The 21755-nt window shown below is 36.2% G+C and overlaps 1 protein-coding gene across 12 annotated transcripts in view; it reads left to right on the forward strand.

Annotated features, from left to right (window-relative positions):
• CRB1 (crumbs cell polarity complex component 1) overlaps window positions 1-21755 on the forward strand; it is a 276952-nt gene that overhangs the window by 111808 nt on the left and 143389 nt on the right. For all 12 annotated transcript variants that reach the window (NR_047564.2, NR_047563.2, NM_001257965.2 and 9 more), the window contains one exon: window positions 15111-15692. Coding sequence is in view for 10 of the 12 variants with exons in the window: in XM_017000852.2 (XP_016856341.1) it covers window positions 15111-15692 (582 nt within the window). In the remaining 2 variants the exon portion in view is untranslated. The remainder of the gene's footprint in view (window positions 1-15110; window positions 15693-21755) is intronic.

A 21755-nucleotide genomic window follows, 5' to 3' on the forward strand; every position in this document is an offset into this window, starting at 1 on the left:
GGACACAGAGCCAAACCATACTGTTGTACACATTTTTTGGGTGAATGTGATATTTTGATACATGTATACAATCTGTAATGATCAAATTAGGCCAATTGAGATATACATCACCTGAAACATTTATCTCTTCTTTGTGTTGGGAACATTACAATTCTTTCTCTTCTAGCTATCTAAAAATATGCAGTAAATTATGGTTAATTATAATATCCCTTATTTACTATCAAGTACTAGAATGTATTCCTTTTATCAAATTGCGTTTTTGTACCCATTGACCAACTTCTCTTTATACCTCTTTGCTTCCTTTCCCTTTCCAGCATCTGGTAACCATCAGTCTACCTCCATGATATCCACTTTTTTCACTCCCATGTATAAGTGAGAACATGTGATATTTGTCTTTCTGTGCCTGGCTTCTTTCACTTAACATAATGACCTCCAGTTCCATTCATGTTGCCGCAAATGACAGGATTTCATTCTTTTTGTGGTATATATACTACACTTAAAAATCCATTCATCTGTTGATGGACACAGGTTGATTCCATATCTCGCCTATTGTGAACAGTGCTTCAATAAACGTGGGAGTGCAAATATCTCAAGTCTTTAATCTATTTTGAGTTAGTATTTGTAGGTCTGGTTAAATTTTAAAAGGGTAACAGATTCATTAACTAGCACAGTTAAAACCAGTTTAAAAACGCCTGGCTAAGATTTGCTAAAAACCTGACTAAGATTTGCTAAGGTTCTTGGATCGACATCTTCCACCAAATTTGGGAAATATTTGGCCATTATTAATTCAGAATATTTTTCCTCCCTGTTCTTTTTCTCCTCTCCCTCTGGTACTGCAATTATATGGGAACCTACTTGGAATTATCCCACAGATCACTGCAGCTCTCTGCAGTTTTTTGAAATATTTTTTCTTTCCATTCTTCAGATTATGTAATTTCTGTTAATCGTCTTCAGATATGTGAATCCTTCCTTCTCTGGTTCCAATGTACTGTTCAGCCCATCAAGATTATTCTTCATTTCAGATATTTTACTTTTCAATTCTGAAATTCTCATTGGGTCCTTCTTATAGTTTTCATTTCTCTGCAAAGTTTTCTCATTGTTTACTCATATTCATTCTTTTATTTAAGTCCTTGAAAAATATTAAGTTCTTGCAAGCTAATTTCAACAGTTATGTCATTTCAATATTTATACTTTTTTCTTGATTATAGGTTAGATCTAATAATTTTTATTGTATATTGGACATTCAGACGATAATTAAAGGGGTTCCTGATTATGTTAACTTCCTTTAAAAGATTTGGAATTTTGTTCTGGCAGGCAGCTAAAATATGTTTTTTCCCTGTAAATCTTGATTTTATTCTTTGAATGCTTTTATTTTGTTTTTGAATGTATGGCATCTTTCTTTCTGTATAATGTGGTCTCTACTCCTAAAGAAAGGCCTTTCTGGTTTCTCAATGCTTGAGATGTTTAGTGTCATGTCTCTCCCTACTGGCTGAGCTGGAACTCCAACTCTCTAATTTCTGACAGTTTTGTTTATCTCTCAATCTCTCAGCAGATGATATCTGCTAGGCCCCTCAGAGACCCATGATGATTAATGAGTCTTTTGAGCCCATCCTCTGAGTGGCTCTTTCTTCTCTGGTGCTCTGGCCTATAAACTCTAATTGCTTCTGCTGCCTATGACTCTGACCTCATCCTCTTCAGCTCAGAAACATTGCTGCTCATCTCATTGTATTCCTTCTGTCTGCCCACAGCACAAAAGCCATTCCAAATCCAAATCCCAGGAGATCACTGGTGTATTTATGTGTGTTTCACATCTAGCAAAAATCATAGTTCTGCACTAACAGTGCTCAGTTCCCAAAAATAGAAACCTCATTTATTTCCTACCTTTTTTTTTAGTTGTTTACATCAGGAGGGCGAGTCTTGTACTAGCTACCCTGTCATTCCATCACAATGGCCAAACTAGTTTGGTTTCACAAAAGGCATCAAATATTTCCTGTGTGTCTTTGTGTTAAGCACTATTTTACACATATGAACTATTTATTATCTCATCATAACAAATTTCGGAAAAGCTTGGGGTTGACGGTAAATGCTATGTCAACACAGATCAGCCAAAGACACAGTTTCAGACACTTTCTTTCTCTCAGCTCCAAAGCTGTGCCTGCATAAAACTAAAATAAACAGATGGAAAGCAAAACATGCTGAGGGGTACAAAAATCCACATGTGTGGAGAAAAGTACCAGAAACAACATCTAATTTTTCCATTCATATAGACTCTCTAAGAGTGAAATTATACTTCATGAATATAAATATCCAAACAAAGACAACCAGCTGAAGCAAAGTAGTGTTTGCATCAACTTCCACATATTTGTTTAGACTTTCCCAAATAATGTGCTTAATTAAAAATAACCTTCAGGTGCAATGAGTTGAGTTGTTCAGTTTATTCAAAGTAACTTGCTCTTATTTGAGTGACTAGATGCATTTTTATTTTTGTTTTGGGTGAATTCAGTATCCTGAAAATGGCCAACACTTATTTGAATAATTTAAATTATTTCTTTTCAAATAAAATGTTTAAGATATAACAATTGCTTCTTACACTAACATTCTAAAAGGATAATCTTAGAGGTGAACTGAGGTCAATTGCCATGTATAAAGCTTATTCTGACTTCATATTTTTGAAGATTAGCCTTTTATTTACAACAATTTTTCTACTCAATGCATCATTGCTACAGGTTTTGGTTTAAGAAGTAACCCTAGATATATCTTAAGATCTTCACTAGGGGACAGGGGTTTTAAACATCATTGCCATCATCATTCTTGCATCATATCCTCATCACATGAGCTTTGGTTCAAAAATCAGATTTTAAACGATTTCAAAGTCAGACTTTTTTTTTTTTGAGACGGAGTCTCACTCTTTCGCCCAGGCCGGACTGCCGTGGCATGATCTTGGCTCACTGCAAGCTCCGCCTCCCGGGTTCACACCATTCTCCTGCCTCAGCCTCCTAAGTAGCTGGGACTACAGGCGCCCGCCACCGAGCCCGGCTGATTTTTTGTATTTTTAGTAGATACGGGGTTTCACCGTGTTAGCCAAGATGGTCTCATCTCCTGACCTCGTGATCCGCCCGCCTCGGCCTCCCAAAGTGCTGGGATTACAGGCGTGAGCCACCGCGCCCGTCCCAGATTTTTATATGTGTCTGTTGGAATATAAGAACCAAAGCACCATAAACTCCAGCTATAAAATTTGCTTGTTATTAATACACAAAGAAAGTGAATATTAAGAGACGAAGTCTGAGCCAAGAAAATAAAAAAAGTAATTATTTTTGGTTTAATTTATACATGCCATTTTTGCACAAAATAGTGCCAAAATTTAATGTCACATTCAAACTTTAAAATTCATTGAAGCAAACTCTCTCTGTTTAGAGATGCCATGATATTACATGGAGAACACCCCAATGACTTCACCAAAAAACCATTAAAATTAATAAACAAGTTCAGTAAAGTTTCAAGATATAAAATCAACATACAAAAATCAGTGATGTTTCTATACACCAATAGTGAATTGTCTGAAAAGAAAGCAAGAAAGCAATTTCACTTACAATGGCTACAAAAAAAAAAAACAAAAAAAAACCCAGAATGCCTAGTAATAAATTTAACCAAGGAGGTGAAAGATCTCTGCAATGAAAACCAAAAAACATTGAGGAGAGAAACTGAAGAAGACACATATATCTCATGTTCATGGATCAGAAGAAATAATATTGTTAAAATGTCCGTACAATGTACACCTCTGCACCTGCAGATTCAGTGCAATCTCTATCAAAATAGCAATGACAGGTGGGGCACGGTGGCTCACGCCTGTAATCCCAGCACTTTGGGAGGCCAAGGTGGGTGAATCACCCGAGGTCAAGAGTTCAAGACCAGCCTGACCAACATGGTGAAACCCCATCTCTACTAAAAATACAAAAATTAGCTTGGTGTGGTGGCACATGCCTGTAATCCCAGCTACTGGGGAGGCTGAGGCAGGACAATCACTTGAACTCGGGAAGCGGAGGTTGCAGTGAACCGAGATCACGCCTTTGCACTCCAGCCTGGGTGACAGAGTGAGACTCTGCCTCAAAAAAACAAAAAACAAAACAAAACAAACAAACAACAAAAAACCAATGACAATCTTCCCAAAATGAGAAAAAAAAAATCTTAAAATTTGTGTGCAACCACAGAAGGCCCCAAATTACCCAAGCAATCTTGAGCAAAAATAACACGGTTGGATACATCACATGACCTGACTTCAAAATATACCAAAAGGCTAGAGTAACCAAAACAGCATGGTAAATGGAATAAAAATAGACACATAGACTAATGAACTGAATAGAGGGCCCAGAAATAAATCCCTGCATCTACGGCCCACTAATTTTTGACAATGGTGCCAAGTATAGACAATGGGGAAAGGACAGCCTTTTCAATAAATGGTACTGGGTAAACTGCATATGCACATGCAGAACAATGAAACTAGACTCCTATCTCTCACCATATACAAAAATCAACTCAAAATTGATTAAAGACTTAAACATAAGACCTGAAATGAAACTACTAACAGAAAACATAGGGGAAAAGCTCTGTGACATTGGCCTAGGTAAGGATTTTTTTTTTTTGTAAAAAACCTCAAAAGTCTGAGCAACAAAAACAAATATAGACAAATAGGATTACATCAAACTAAAAAGCTTCTGCATAGCAAAGGGAACAATCAATAGAGCAAAGAGGCAACCTATAGAATGGGAGAAAATATTTGAAAACTCTACATCTAATAAGGGGTTAATATCCAAAATATATAAGAAACTCAACACCAACAACAAAAGTAAACCCATCAAAAAATGAGCGAAAGACTTGAGTAGATATTTCTCAAAAGAAGATATACAAATGGCCAACAGATAAATGAAAAAGAAGATGTTCAACATCAGAAATCATCAGGGAAAGGCAAATCAAGATGACAGAAATTTTCACCTCATTCCAATTAGAATGACTACTGTCAAAAAATCAGAAGATAACAAGTGTTGGTGAGGATGTGGAGAAAAGAGAAATTTTACACTCTGCTGGTGGGAATATAAATGAGTACAGCCATTTTGGAAAATATTAATAGTTTAGAGTTTCCTCAAAAAATAAAAATAGAACTACTGTATGATCCAGCAATCCCACTACTGTGTATACATCCAAAGGAAATGAAATAGGTACTTCGAAGAGATATCTGCACTCCTATGTTTATTGTAGTACCATTCACAATAACCAAAATATGGAATCAACCTCAATGCTCATCAATTTTTAAATGGATTTAAAAAGTACTATCACAAGGGAATGTTATTCAGTCATAAAACAATAAAATACTGTCATTTCCAGGAACATGGATGAACCTGGATGACATTATGTTAAGTAAAATAAGTCAGGCTTGGGAAGACAGTGCATGATCTCACTCACATGTGGAATCTAAAAAGTTGTTCTTGTGGAAGTAGACAGTGGAACAGTAGTTGCCACAAGATAGGGAGGTTAGGGAACAAGTGGGGATAGGAGAGATTGGCCAATGGGTGCAAAGTTATAGTTACACAGGAGGATAAGTTCTGGTGTTCTGTTGAATAGCAGGATGACTAGAGTTAACAACAATGTATTATATGTTCCAAAGAGAAGTTTTTGAACTCATTACAAGCAAATGATAAATGTTATCAGAAATTGACTTTTTAAATATGAGACTATAATAGGACCTGATAATATCTTCTAATAAATGAATATAGGAAAATCACCTTGATTTACACTAAAAAAGACAATATTAAACAAAGGTATATTATTGGGAAATTCTCTAAAATGCTCAATGATGGCTTTAAAAATAGAAGTTTGGGGGGCTGAGGTGGGCAAATCATGAGGTCAGGAGTTTGAGACCAGCCTGGCCAACATAGTGAAACCCTGTCTCTACTAAAAAAAAAAAAAAAAAAATTAGCCGGACGTGGTGGCGGGTGCCTGTAGTCCCAGCTACTTGGGAGGCTGAGGCAGGAGAATTGCCTGAACCTGGGAGGTAGAGGTTGCAATGAGCTGAGATCATGCCACTACACTACACTGCAGCCTGGGTGACAGAGTGAGACTCCATCTCAAAAAAAAAAAAAAAAAAAAAAAAAAGAAAGAACGGAGAATATTTTTTAAATATTCTCCTATTTGAAAATAGAATTTCTTAATACTTTTGAGTTCAAACAATGGAAGTAAAGAGATTTGGTCACCAATTTAAAAACTAGTTTGTCTGTGTAATTACAATTTCTTTTCTCTCTGAGTGTAAACAAAATATTTAGGATCAGTTTATTGCTTGTAATGTGTCATCATTTCTCTCTTTCTTTTTTTTTCTCACCCATTTAATTTGTTTACTCTTTTTTCCCCTGTGTTTCCAGCAACATAGGAGGATTTAGAAACAAAACTGTCTTGGGCAGAGGGAGATGATGGCAAATGGATGAAAAACTGGCTTCTTGTTTTTGGTGGTTACTATAGCAATAATCATGATGGGAGATTTTTAGCCGCAAGTGGTTTCTATAACAACATGATAGGGTGCTTTAGAAATAGACCTGAGGTAAACAGATTCTTTAAGGGCCTCTTAACCCCTTTTATCCCACAAAATTAGCATCCTCTTGGAGGATGAATATTAGTTGGCTTATTTGATGAAACGCTTAAAATCTTGCTTTTGTTTTGTAAAGATTAAATGGTTAATTATTCTATAAAGACCTGGCCTTAGCCAATCAGCTCTTAGGCTCCTTCACTTCAGGAAATAATTGATAGCATCCCTACTTTATTTCTGCACAGCAAATTCAAATAGCCTTAAAGATATGCATTTCATAGTATTCACCAAAAATTGGAAAACCATAAATAGTCCTCGTGAGAAAGTGTGTTCACTCTGACATAGATCACTCAAGGGCTCTTGCTTTACTAATACTTCATATACACTATGATTTCACCTATTGGGCTCCCTGACAGGTGGAGCTTTTCCTACTCTAACTAATGGAGTCTGAATACTCATCCTTTATTAGGCTATTCAGTGTGTGCCAGAATAGACCTGGTCCCTATTGAGTTATAATTCACTAGGTATTACATGGGGAAGTTTAGTAATTTTTTGAATTTATTAAATTTTAGTATCATAAAAACTGACATAGAAAAAAGCAAAGGCCTCCATTTCATACATAAGCATCCTTCAGGAGCCCTTATAAGTGAAAGATCAAGGGGAATTTATGACAGGAATGTGGTACAGGAGTAGATGGTGGTAGGCAGGAAATAATTTTTCAAGAGAAAGAAAGATGGAAGGCTTAAATTTAGTTAAGTAGTTAAACAGAGGAAGATGGGGATCAAGTTTGGTTGACTTTAATAGTGAGTTATTGATTATCTACTCTATGTTGTACACTATAGGTATATACAATGTTGAATAGTATATGGGATTTATTTTAAAAACTAAATTATCATATCAAGTAAAGCACTCTTATTAAACTATTAATTAAATTAATTGATTTGAAGTGGCCATATATTTACAAGAATGATTTCATTTATGTTATGATGTCTCATGCATTTTCTACAGTAGAGCCATCCTTATACTTTTATTCTTTTCTATTCAGTTAAGCTGCCAATTCAAAACATCAGATATTCTCTTTCAAATCTCAGAAGGATGTCAGCAACCATGCATCTCCTTCTCTCTGATTTCAAACAGTACAAGCTATTCCCATTTCCCTGGTGTTTTGTGCTCAGCAATGAAGCCTCGGAATTCATTACGTAATCACTTGCCATAGCCTTCTGGGGTGGAGTTTGCCAAATGGATCCCTGGGAGATCAAGACCCATTCTCCATGTGTGCCATAGGGCTATGCACATGAGCTGAGGCATGTCTGTATTCACCAAGGCCCTGCTCAGAACAGCATGTGCCAGAATACACTGGGCAAGGAGCCATTCATAAATTCTTGAAAAATCTTATCCAGACCAAAGGCACAATGGCATTGTAGTTGTTGTGCTCATTGCCATGGGGCTTTTAGCTGAATAAAAAGAAAATAAAAAATATATTCATGATGACTTCCAAGTTATCCAGTAACCACAGTAACCTAGGTTTTCCCCAAATTTGGTCCACAACTTTGAGTCACCTGACAGAAACAAATCATTCTGTCTTTGTTCAAGCATAGTGAGCCATAGAGTGAGTGAAACAAATTTCCCTGGGATAAAAACCAATGAATCAGCAAAGCAAACAATCATCATATATTTATTTTACTATTAGAAGGTGGTATTCAAAATGTCATCAAAACCAAATACATACCTCATACATACAGGCATACTGAAAAGCATATATTATAGTTCCTGAACTTAAAGAGTTTGTTTGCTAATTGTAAGGACAAGTCTTCATATATGGCATGAAGAACACTTTAGGTTGCATATAGATAAGTGTTCAATTGTATCTTAACAATAATAAATTCTGTGGCTGCTCAGGCCAGGAGCTCAAGGGGTATGTAAAAATATGAGGAGGATTAATGGGAAAAGTACACTTTGCATTGGACTTCTAACAATTTGAATATACATCACAGTTAAACTCTCAGAAAGTATTCTGAGATATTTTTATTCATGGCTACTATAAGAAGAATGTCATAAAGAAGATAATTTAAATTCTGGAGGAATAATGTCTTACTCATAACCACACATTATTTTTCTAGACTTTAGTTCTCTGTACAAAAATGCGAGAAAACTGTTGAGAGTTGCACTATCCAACACAGTAGCCATTAATCACATATGGCTTTTGAGCACTTGAAATGTGACTAAAATTAAGTGTGCTAGAAGTGTAAAATACACTAAGGATTTCAAAGGCTTAATGTTAAAAAGTGTAAATATTTCATTAATAGTTTTTACACTGGCCAGGTACGGTGGCTCATGCCTGTAATCCCAGCACATTGGGGGGCCGAGGTAGACAGATCACTTGAAACCAGGAGTTCGAGACAAGCCCCATCTCTACTAAAAATAGAAAAAATTAGCTGGGCATGGTGGCACATCCCTGGAATCCCAGCTACTCAGGAGGCTGAGGCATGAGAATACCTTGAACCCAGGAGGCAGAGGTTGCAGTGAGCCAAGATCGCACCACTGCACTCCAGCCTGGGTGACAGAGTGAGACTCTGTCTCAAATAATAATAATAATAATAATAATAATTTTTATACCAATTACATATTTAAATATAATGCTTTATCTATATTTGGTTAAATATTTAAAATTAATTTGCCTGTTTGTTTTTCGTTGTTAACATGGTTACAGAAGACTTAACATTCCATATGTAGCTCACATTATACTTCCATTAGACAGCACTGGTATAGGTGCTTGCTATTTAAGTGTAGTATGTGGACCAACAGCATCAGTATTACTTAGGAGCTTACCATAAATGCCAAGTCTGAGGCCCCACTCCTCCTGACTCTGCAAGGTTAACAAGATCCTCAGCAGTTCATATGAACATTAATGTTTAGAAAATGCTGATCTAGATAATGTTTTAGATGTTTCTTTTTATGACTCTGTCTTCCTTTTCATTTGGATTTTTTTCAAATAAATATTTTACAGTCTGGGCATCCTGACCTAGCACATATTAGATGCATAAACTTGGGGAAGTTATCTGACATTCCTGAAACTCAATTCCATATTTATAAAATGGATGTAATACCTCCAATCCCATAATTTTTCTATAGGGGTTAAATGAAACACAAGAATTATGAAAGGAACCAATAAATTGGAGAAATTTTTATAATATCAAAAATAATATTGAAAAATTAGATTATTCTAATTATTTTCATTCTTATATTGATTGCCAATACTATTTTGATGTACAGTGGAATGAACTAGAGTTCGAAGGGCTGTTTTCATTTATTTTACAAATGTCACTTTTTTAACATTAATTGTGTATAATAAAACTTAGCACACTGATAAGTCTCTAGTAGAGATATTAAAACTTTTGGATCTTCTTTTAGAACAAAAGTGTTGTGTAGCTAAATTTTCCTGCACCATCATTATATAATTGACATTGAAATTATATCTGTTCGTTGATCGATTCTGCAAAACATGGCTTTATGGAGCGGGAAAAAACTTTTTCGTCTTTGTTCAGAACACTTTTAGCTTTACTGTGAGAATTTCAATTTGCTAGAGGCAAATAAACTAGTAAAATATGTCTATTCCATAGTAAAAGGGGTCATTCAAAAGCCTGTCCTTATTAAAATATACATTGATTATAATAAGGTCAGTGATTTCAGGCCTGATTAGCTTTAAATAAATGTAATGTCAAAGGAATATAATTAGTTCCTCATTAAAATTTTTCATGATTGACAGTGAGTAAAAATGACCTTCACAACTTGCATCATTTAGTCATGTTCTAAGGATGACAAAGGGCAGGGCATCTTCTATGAGGTAAATGTGTATGATTGCAGCCTGAGGCACATGCACTTGGTCCCTTACCCTACCTAACCCTAACGCCCAAGACCTGATCCAAGCCAGACCCTGTGCTTAGGTGTGTAGGCTGTGTAAAGGAGGACCCAGAAGCTTTGATTCTCATGGGGATGCTTTGAGAGAAAAAGAAACCTTTGAACCGGCAGGACCTGATTTCATCTGTGATGATGCTGATGATCAGAAATTATATATAAAAGCAAATAGCAACGTGCCTATCAGATATAGGGGATTTAAAATATGTTGACAGAAAACTTTCTCAGTGAGGCCACTGACCTTCTAAAGAGGAGCTAATAGTAGAATAGGGATATTAAGATACAGGTGATGTCAATGAATTTTGGCCAAAACCAATCTTCTTACCTGGAGTAAGAAAGTCGTGTTTCAAGGAGTTTGCATGAGTATTAATTGTGGTTGATGATGATGGGAACCTGCCCTGATTATTAGGTATGATTCTCAGAGAATGTGTGCTGGTGCTAAGCTTGCATTTCTCAGAACCCCCAAAACTCTCTTTGCAATATTATATAGTTTCATTTTCTTGAACTTATTCATTTGTTAAATATGCATTTACTAAGCACCAACTATGTACATGGCACTCTGCTAGTCAATAGACAAATAATAAGATATATGTACTTTGGACCCTGCATTGAAAGAAAAAGCAAATAATGTTTTTTAAAAAACTACTTTATGCTTGATTGTTATAAGGAACTTTATGTGTATTATCTCTTTTATTCCTAATAATAATAAGAACAAGGATGATTGATAATGCTCACTCTGTGCCAAGCCCTGTTAGGCATTTTATGTTCATTAATTTAACCCTTTATAACAACTCTATGAGATAGGTGCCATTTTTACAAAAATGGAAACTGAGGCAGAGCGATGTTATCTTGATAAAACTCATAGACTTAGTAAGTGGCAGAGCCAGGATTTAAACCCAGGCACCAAACTTCATGCGCTTATCCACTATATATATGGCTCCACATCATTTTCTTTAGTAATCAGGACACTGAGGCTCAGTGAAAATGTTTTTTCTTAAAGTCACAGAGATGGTAAATACTAGAACCAAAATTTAAATCTCTGTCTACCATAAAAATGTCCTCTTCTCACTATATTAAATTGGCCTCAATTTAGTATTTAAGACAACGTGTACAGTAGGAATACAAAGGAAAAATGGTCTTAAAGGAGCCCATCTACTTCTTATTTTAACTGCTCCATGTGGATTCTATCACGCAGTACATCAAAGTAAGTGATTTAACCAATCATTTGTTCTGCTTGATTTTATCAAAAGAGGTCAAAGTAAGAATTTCACAGCAAGGCTTAAATGGGAATTCAGGTTTCCTTGCTCACTCATTCATTATTCAACAAATTTCTATTGACTGCCTTACCATGTGCAAGCCATTTTGGCTATGTCCTGATTAAAGATGTGCCCCTCCTGCACCGCCTCCCTCCCCACCCCAATCCTGGAACTAAATTTCATTCTCTGCAGAAAGCCAGGCTAAAGAGAATTCAGCAAACCACTTTATTCTCATAAATTGGCATTCTTAGACCTGGAAATTTTGAGTTCTATCTCCAGTAGCATTGTTTATACCTTCTATTTCATTCTGATTACATTTCATTAGCAAAACATAGCAAATGTTTATAAAATCGTCAGTCTTCTAGGTGAAACGATGTAAGACACCATTCATTTGATTTTTTGGAAATATCAAATTTTATGTTCACAATTCCTCTATTCTACTCTGATTATTTAGGTAAAATTAGGTTAAATATAGATAACTATAGAATTAAAATTTAAAAAACTGTGCCTTTACACGTTTGGAAAATTACTCAATTTTTTTTCAAATAACGCCAACCATATATATTGAAAATAACATTATTCCATACCACAGGTGACATATTCTTTTCCTATCCCTAGCAGCGACTTCCCCAAGTCCCTGCTTGTCTCAACAGTTTGAGGAAAAAAAACACCAGAAATATACATGTTCCAGAACAATGAATAAATTCCCAAATAACTTTATATACATTAGTGAGGATACAATGAGGAGTGTTTATCTAGCTAAATATGAGGCATATTAAAAATTGCTACTTTAACCCAGATATGAGCAATAATAGGAGTTTTATCTACGCCTCCTTCCTTTCCTTCTGCTGACAAAGGATACATTTAATTCTTGACGTTAATATCAGTTAAAATGAGATCTAGAGACAGATATAATTAGAGAGCTAGGGAGAGAATTAAGTTAGTAAATCTTAAGAAAAGACTGAGTATACTGATGATAAGAGGATATTTAAATAGAATTTTGAAAAAGATCAAGGATCAATAATTATACATTTAAATATACATATATGTATGCATATACATATGCATAGTTTTACATAAAGAAACTATTAAGGTAAGAGCTATGGCTTTGACAGTTAATACTCAAGAAATATTTACTGAGCACTTGGTATAAATAAATAGATATGGAGCACAATACAAAGATACAGCAGATGCTCTGAACAATTAAGTCCTTATCACAACTCAAATTCCATAGCTAGCATTTTGCTGAGCCAAGAATTTAAATGGTACTTAAAATTTATAGAGGCCGGGGACTGTGGCTCAAGCCTGTAATCCTAGCACTTTGGGAGGCCTGGATGGCTGAGGCGGGCAGATTGCCTGAGCTCAGGAGTTCGAGACCACCCTGGCGGCAACATGGTGAAACCCCCATCTCTACTAAAATACAAAAAATTAACCAGGCATGGTGGTGGGCTTCTGTCATCCCAGCTCTTTGGGAGGCTGAGGCAGGAGAATCACTTGAGCCTGGGAGATGGAGGTTGCAGTGAGCTGAGATCATGCTACTGTACTCCAGCCTGGGCGACAGAGCAAGACTCTGTCTCAAAATAATAATAATAATAATAAATAATTTAAAAATGTATAATCAGATGTTAAATATTTTCTTGCAAAAAACAAGGGAGCTGGGGAACAGAACCTTTTTAATTCAATTTCATAATTATTTTTGTCCGATCCTGACCATTCCCAGGTAATTTACAGGAAGGGCATAGTTGGCACCTTGAATTAGTCCATTGTTAGGCTTTCTATGTAAGGGTACTCGTGTTTTTTTGTTTGTTTATTTTGTTTCATTCTCTTTCTTAAAATAAAATTCCTTCAGTGAAAATTATTAGTGACTTGTACCTTTTTAATTATTTTTATTGCTATGTTTTGTACTTGTTCAGTAAATTTTCTATTAAGAACTCAAAACTATTTCTCAACATCTTATAAAGGTAAGAGCTAGCATTTACCAAACACTTACGATGTGTCTGCAAAGCATTTAAATTTAGTGACTTAATTCTCACACACCAAAAAAAAAAAAAAAAAAAAAAAAAAAAAAAAAAAAAAAAACAGAAACCAAGGCTGGGAGAGGCAGAGCAGGCCTGGTACCCATCTGTTGCCCCTTCCCACTGTATTATCCTGACTCGCTGGTAAATCTCCTATGATTGCTAAATAGAAAAGTCAATGAAAAGATTGATAATAAAAACCACTGAATACAACTTTCAGATTCTTGATTGATGATTTTAAATTAGAGAATTACCTGTTTCATAGAAAAGTGCAATAGAACTATCAAGGACAAAGGAATAAATACTACTTACAATAGAGAAATTAACATGTTCTTCCCTGAAAGTCTTGCACCTTGCACTGTTTCATTGCTCTAAATAAACATACTCGGCCTCATAATGAAACAAAATTACCAATATGGCTATTTTCCAAGTCAATTTAATTATTAGAAAATACATACACACAGATGCATACACACACACACAAGAAATATATTTACTGTTATTTGGGTCTTCATCTTCCTTAAAACTGGTCAAATTTGTTTTTACTTCTCAGCAGACAAAAAAACTTTATTTTAGCACTAGAAATACTTAATGCAAATATAGAAATAATTGCTTATAGTAACTATATAAAATCTTTTCTTTTCTCTTGTGCAGAGGTTTTCAAATTGCTGGTCTCAAACCCTAGCTCCTTGGAGGTGTCTCTAGGGGAGGCAGGAGACTGGTCTGACTGGGCTCCAAGGGACCTTCCCTGCTTCGACCTGAGCAGATCTGCTTTCCAATTGTGTACATTGGGATTCCTCATGACATTTTCCTTGAAGGAATTCTGCTGCTCTTAAAAAGAAAAAAGAAAGGAAAAGAGGGAAAACAAAAAGTCTGAAACTCACAGTGGTAGAATTTCTTAAAACAGCCAGTAGATGGCAAACTTTACTGCAAGGAAACAATTTTGCAGCCTATATAATTTGGTCTGAAAATAGCAATTAAACTCTACATCCAGTAAAATTTGCTATCCTGTATATAAGTCTTCTGTTAAATCAGGAAACAAAATTCTCTATGGTACTTTCTCTGGGAACTAAATTTCAATTATAATTTAAAATATCCTATAACTTCTTTCTGTGTCCATTTAAGTCTTGCTCTGAAGGTATTATCACTATGAAAATTATTGCATTGTTCACTGAAAGTACATACAATGTGCTAGGTATAGTAATGTAGATGACGTAGTTTTTTCATTAGGATGAACCCAACTATGTATTTTATTAATGAGTTTGGTTGAGGCAGCACAAAGGTCACAAAGAAAGATTTTTAACTTTGTCCTCATTTATAAATTTAATCTTGTTACTTTTTATTTCCTTGTAGATTCCTTTTGCAATAAAAACAACACCAGGTGCCTCTCAAATTCTTGCCAAAACAATTCTACATGCAAAGATTTTTCAAAAGACAATGATTGTTCTTGTTCAGACACAGCCAATAATTTGGACAAAGACTGTGACAACATGAAAGACCCTTGCTTCTCCAATCCCTGTCAAGGAAGTGCCACTTGTGTGAACACCCCAGGAGAAAGGAGCTTTCTGTGCAAATGTCCTCCTGGGTACAGTGGGACAATCTGTGAAACTACCATTGGTTCCTGTGGCAAGAACTCCTGCCAACATGGAGGTATTTGCCATCAGGACCCTATTTATCCTGTCTGCATCTGCCCTGCTGGATATGCTGGAAGATTCTGTGAGATAGATCACGATGAGTGTGCTTCCAGCCCTTGCCAAAATGGGGCCGTGTGCCAGGATGGAATTGATGGTTACTCCTGCTTCTGTGTCCCAGGATATCAAGGCAGACACTGCGACTTGGAAGTGGATGAATGTGCTTCAGATCCCTGCAAGAACGAGGCTACATGCCTCAATGAAATAGGAAGATATACTTGTATCTGTCCCCACAATTATTCTGGTAAGTGTGATCATATCTGAATCACAGATGGTGTAGTTAGCTCTTTCTAAGTGGCAGAAGCAGAGGTGACATTTTATTTTTCACACAATCATTTATGAAAATGGCCAAGTTCTTGACAGGAATCAATCACTAGATAGAAACTCCCTAAACTGCTGAAAATCCACTGAATGCACTGAATTCTAAGTGGTTGCCTGCTGTCACTGTTGCTGTTTTAAATGGAGCTCTACATGATTTAAAACTGGATTCAGTCTAGAATGAATGAGGTCCAAGAGAAACTCAAGGGCAGTTCAGGTTTCCTCATCAGTGCATGTTCCTTTCATTCCAGTTCAAGCCTGCTTTCTAATCCCCAAAGCCTGGCACTGCAACCTTCTGGGAAGGCAGTTTGGAAGTTGATGGGTTTCTAGTGCTGACTTGAGTATTATCAACAGATCAGTGGTAGTAAAGCTGATGGAGCATGGTATATCAGATAAACCACGATTTTTATTAAGAAAAAAAGCCTGTTCTTGTTTTACGTCTTAGAGCAAACAATTGTACCTCATATTTATCTATCTATTCTTTACAATGTTTCTGTTGATAGAATTTTATTTTAATAATAAAGTAACAAGTTGACAACTCATCATTACCAAGTTACATGCTATTCAGCCTCTTCACACTCAGTATTTATCCTCCCTATCCTTTTGAATCACTGTTACTGTTTTAGGTCAATTCTTCACGATGGCCACATTTCTTGCTTTGCTTTATTCTTTGGCTTTTCCATTTACTTGTAAGGGGGTAACTTACCTAGCCTATGCTTTCTCACATGCATTCATTCTAACTTCTGCTCACCACTTTCTTACAGTTCCTGACTCATATCTCTAAGACACCACACACATTTTAATACCATGTTCTCCCTTAGCACTTGCCGTTTTTGTACCTTCCTGAAAGCCTTCCTGAGGCTTTCAGCTTTTAAACTTGCCTTCTTCTCCCAACACTTTCACACTTAGTTCTTTATTTTGTCATTCTTTTTCCAAGTGTTAAGCAATATATCTATTTGGAAAATATTTCTCTTCAAAATTTGCACCAGAACCCTCCAGCATCATTTTACTTTTAAACATTCTAAAACTATATATTTTATAAAATAGACACATTCCTAGTTGCTCTAAAATGAAATTTTTCCCCTCTCCCTCCTCCTTTACATACAACCAGTCTTCAGAATCTGCTGTTTTGACATCTAAGATATGTTCCAAATTGAGCTCATCCATTCTTTTCCTTGGTTAGGTTTATTTCAACTCTTGTGTGTACTACTACACAACCTCCCAGACGTTCTACTTATAGCTTCTACCTTCTCGAAGTTGTTCTGAACACTGCCTTTGAAATAACTTTTCTAAAATAGACCTATGCCGTAGTTCTGAAGAGCCTTGAGAGCTTCCCACTACACAGAGAATAATTTTAGCCTCTCCCTGAAAGCACTTCACAATTTGGGCCCATGACAGTGGCCATGTCCTCACACATTCCACCGAAGCCTTCTATTTCCTCTAATAAATCTTCTTCATTTCTTATACAAGTCATTTCTTTCCCCCTGGAATGTCCTTCCTCACTTCACAATGTCTACTCTGAAGTTCTGCTATACTTTTTAAGACCTAGTTCAAATATCACCCAACACAAGAAGTGTTTCCAGGTTCCTTTCCAGCTGGAATAATAATTCCACACTGCTGCAGTAATTATATTCATTATGTTTGTACTAGTTGACACCTGTATTAAAGAATCCCCTATAATTCTTTCCTATTTTACATATATCTATGTTTTTGCACCCCCCCCCAAATGTTAGTTTCTAAAGGACAGAGTATTGTTTTATATTTATTCTTTAATTCATCAATACTTTCTGAGTTTCTATTAGATGTCAGTTAGTGGATTAAGAAGAGGAGTCCTCGGCCAGGCGCGGTGGCTCACGCCTGTAATCCCAGCACTTTGGGAGGCCGAGGCGGGAGGATCACGAGGTCAGGAGATCGAGACTACTGTGAAATCCCGTCTCTACTAAAAATACAAAAAATTAGCCAGGTGTGGTGGCGGGCGCCTGTAGTCGCAGCTACTCATGAACCCGGGAGGCAGAGCTTGCAGTGAGCCGAGATCGCGCCACTGCACTCCAGCCTGGGCAACACAGCCAGTCTCCGTCTCAAAAAAAAAAAGAGGAGCCCTCTTCCTCCAAGAGCCTGACTCAGTATTTGTGAGTAATGGCTGCTTAATCAACTGTTACTAAATTGTTCTAAGTTTTACAATTCTTCCATATATTTCTGGGCACCCTTCCCCATCCTGAAACTCAGGTAAATGAATATTAAATAAGAATTCACTTTTTGTATTATTTTATGTATACTCTATGATGCTAAAATGCTTATGTCAAATGGAAAATTATTTTATCAAGTGACTTAATTGTCAATACTATCTAAAAGTTATAGGAAATATTTTAAAAGCTTATAAAACAATAGTTGTATGAAAAGCTCCTTGTTTGTATGCCATACTGAGGTGTCTCTTTCTTTGGTGGAGTTATGGCAGGTGAATTTCAATATTTTTTAAATTTTTGAATAAAAATAAGAAATTTTTGTGGGGCTGGCTTGGAAGTGCTTTGTTTACAATGGTCACATTTAAAAATCAATACAGTTCATTAAGATAGTGTCTTCCATTTTCTGCTTCTATCTCAATATTGTGAATGGTGATTAAAAGGAATAGATATAAAATCAAATTAATGTTTCATTCATTTCAACTATAGTATTGTGTAATAGTCTTATATTTGTAAAAAAAACACAGCTTGCAAAACTATATTTTACAATGTATGTTTTTTAAATATCTTAATTAAATTGGATTTTAATGAATCCTTTCAGTCGTCTAAATTTAGGCATAAAAGATGGAAAGGGTGGCCAGGTGTGGTGGCTCACGCCTGTAATCCCAGCACTTTCGGAGGCTGAGGCCGGCAGATCACGAGGTCAGGAGATGGATACCACACTGGCCAACATGGTGAAACCACATCTCTACTAAAAATACAAGTCCCAGCTACTGGGAGGCTGAGGCAGGAGAATTGCTTGAATTGGGGAGGCAGAGGTTGCAGTGAGCTGAGATTGTGCCATTGCACTCCAGCCTGAGCGACAGGGTGAGACCCTGTCTCAAAAAAACAAAAAACAAAAAACAAAACAAACAAAAAAAACAGCTAGAAAGAGTATATTCTAAATGTGAAATGTAGTCAAATTCCATCATAAGGCACTTCACCTTACAATGAATTCATTTATACTGTAGGTTGTATCACATCCCTGTAGGGTCCAATGGGAATGAGTCCCCTTTTCTCACTATAACACTTAGGTCCACAATGAGGATGCTTTCCTTGTCAATCCCTGATATAATAGTGTTGTTCCCTATTTGACTATATTCTTCCCTTGTTTTCTATGAAATCAGCTACATGTTATTATTTCACCTTTTCAAGTGACATATATAAAACTTTCTTGAAAACAGAATTTAAACAAGAGACTCATAAGGCAGATAAAAATCGGGTCTATTATTAGCTGGTTAGGCTTGTTCGGGTAAAAAAAAAAATGCAGTCATAGGCTTGCTCACCAATCTCCTACACAAGTAGAATGGCCTGTGTTCTAGTAGCTCATGGGTGTTTCTCAGCCCTGACTACTCATTAGCAATTACCCAGGGAGCTCTGAAACAGAGGTGCTCAGACTCTACTTCCAGAGGGTCAAATTTAATTGATGAGTCTAATGTATAGCCAGGGCTGGCGGCCAAATATTAAGTTCATGTGAGCTTTATTTGGAAATTTTTCTTGCACCATACCATCATTTAGACACACAGGGAAGTGTGTTTATTTCATTGCTATCCCATGACCACCAGTGTTTGTGGCAGCCCAGGCCAACTAACGAGAACCCCAAAGAAGGTCTGTAGAACCAAGGGAAAAGCCAAAGTTGAGAAGGAAAGAAAAAAGACCATCAGCAATCAGCATGGATGTGCTGGAGTGCTCTGCCTCAACTTAGACCTCCTGATGAATCCTGGAAACTGTATTACAATGACCTAGCTGCTGTGCACCACATCCAAATTTAGAGTGATCATAAAGAACTCCTCTTACAGAAAAAAACCTGTGTTCCTCTGAGCAGCAAAGTAAGAAAAGGTAATAAATTTTAAAAGGCAGAGAGGTAGAAGGGGAAAAAGAGCTGTAGCACATAGAGAGGGTTCACACTGCGTGAATTCTCCTCTGTGCACTCCATTATGCTTCATGGGCAGTGATTCATGAACTACAGAAATGGTCTCAGAGAGAGCCACTGAAGAGGCTGGTGAGAATCTGCTGTGCATAAGCAAAAACTCCAATTGAAGCTGAAAGTAAGTGGATGCAAACTTTTTTAATGAAAAGAATATTAGCTCTAAGCATGTGACTGCTTTTAGTTCAATTTCATGCAATGAATCATTTCATAATTGAGGCCTTCTTTAAAATTAGCCAGATTGATTAATGTACATTTTTCTCATTCAGATGCCTGCAGTATGAGAAAAATAGGGCTGTAAGAGGGCAGAGAAAGGCCAGTTCAATGTATGTTGAAACAAATCAATGTAGAAAAATATCTTATTCCTCTATTACAAAATAGATCTTTGGTATAAAAGTAATCTTTTGGGAAATAAGAAAATGCACTATATTCAATGTACTTTTCAACTATATGATGAATTTCCTTGCAGAAATAAAAATGTACAAAAATTCATCATATAGTGAAGGAAATGTATTTGTACTTACAGAGTAGTTAGAAGACTAGTTAGTTCATGGAGACTAGTTAGGAGGCCATTGTGATAACCCAGGTATAAGGTTTTAGGACCTGGCCTGGGAGAGTGGCCATGGGCATGAAAGGAAAGAGAAAGTATAATGTCTCTAGAAACAAGACTCACTTAACATTTATCAAGGTCAGAGTATTTTCAAACTTATTGTATCCAAGGAAAACTTGAAAACTCTGATATGAAACAAATGCATTAAAAGTTTAACTGGCATTGTCAACTTAATAAGCTTACAATGTAGATCAATGGGTCTCAAGTGTTGGCATGCATCAGACTCACCTATACAGCTTATCAATAAAATACTGTTTTCAGTTCAACAGATCTGAGGTGGGGGTCCAAGAATATGCATTTAAAACAAGTTCCCATGTGATGCTGATGCTGTTAGTTTGGGGACTACACTTTGAGAACCACTGACATAGACAGTTATGTGGATTTCCATGTGACATCCTTGACTGTTATTTCACAAAGTCCATGAGGCAAGGAAACACAAATCAATAAAAGCAGGCTTTTATATAAAGCACTTATTGCTAGTAACAGTTCTAGGTACTTGATGATATGATTTGAGTGATTGCCTCCTCCAATACTCATGTGTTGGAGACATAATCACCAATGCAATAGTATTGGGAGGTGGGAACTAAGAGGAGGTATTTAGGCCATGAGGATGGAACCTTCAGGAATGGATTAATACCATAATAAAAAGGGCTTTTTGGAGTGGGTTCACCCCCTTCCACTCTTATGCCATGTGAGGAACAATGTTCCTATCCTCTGGAGGATGCAGCCTTCATGGCACCATCTTGGATGTGGGGATTTACCAGACACCAAGCCCACTGGAACCTTGGTCTTGAACTTTTAAACATCCGGAGCTAAGAGAAATAAATTTCTGTTCTTTATAAATTACCCAGTCCTATATATTCTGTTATACCAGCACCAGATGGACTATAAGACACATGATATGGATTTTTTAAATATTTGTCGAATTCATTAGATCATTAATTTATTCAACACATATATATTGAGTACCTCAATGAATTGGGCATTGTTCTATGTTCTGAAAATGAAAGCGTAAAGAGAAGTGATGACAAAGTCTCTTACATTCTGCAAGGAAGAGATAGATGTCTATAAAACAAGTAATAGATATACTGTATATAGTAGGTTAGAGGGTAATAACTGCATGGAGAAAAGTAAAACAAAATAATGGTATTAGGGATTAACTTTAGGTAGAATGATCAAGAAAGTCTTCACTGAGAAGGTGACATGTGAATAAAGTTCTAAAGAGGAGAGGAT

Source organism: Homo sapiens, chromosome 1 (assembly GCF_000001405.40).
Source record: "Homo sapiens chromosome 1, GRCh38.p14 Primary Assembly".
Classification (NCBI taxonomy): domain Eukaryota; kingdom Metazoa; phylum Chordata; class Mammalia; order Primates; family Hominidae; genus Homo; species Homo sapiens.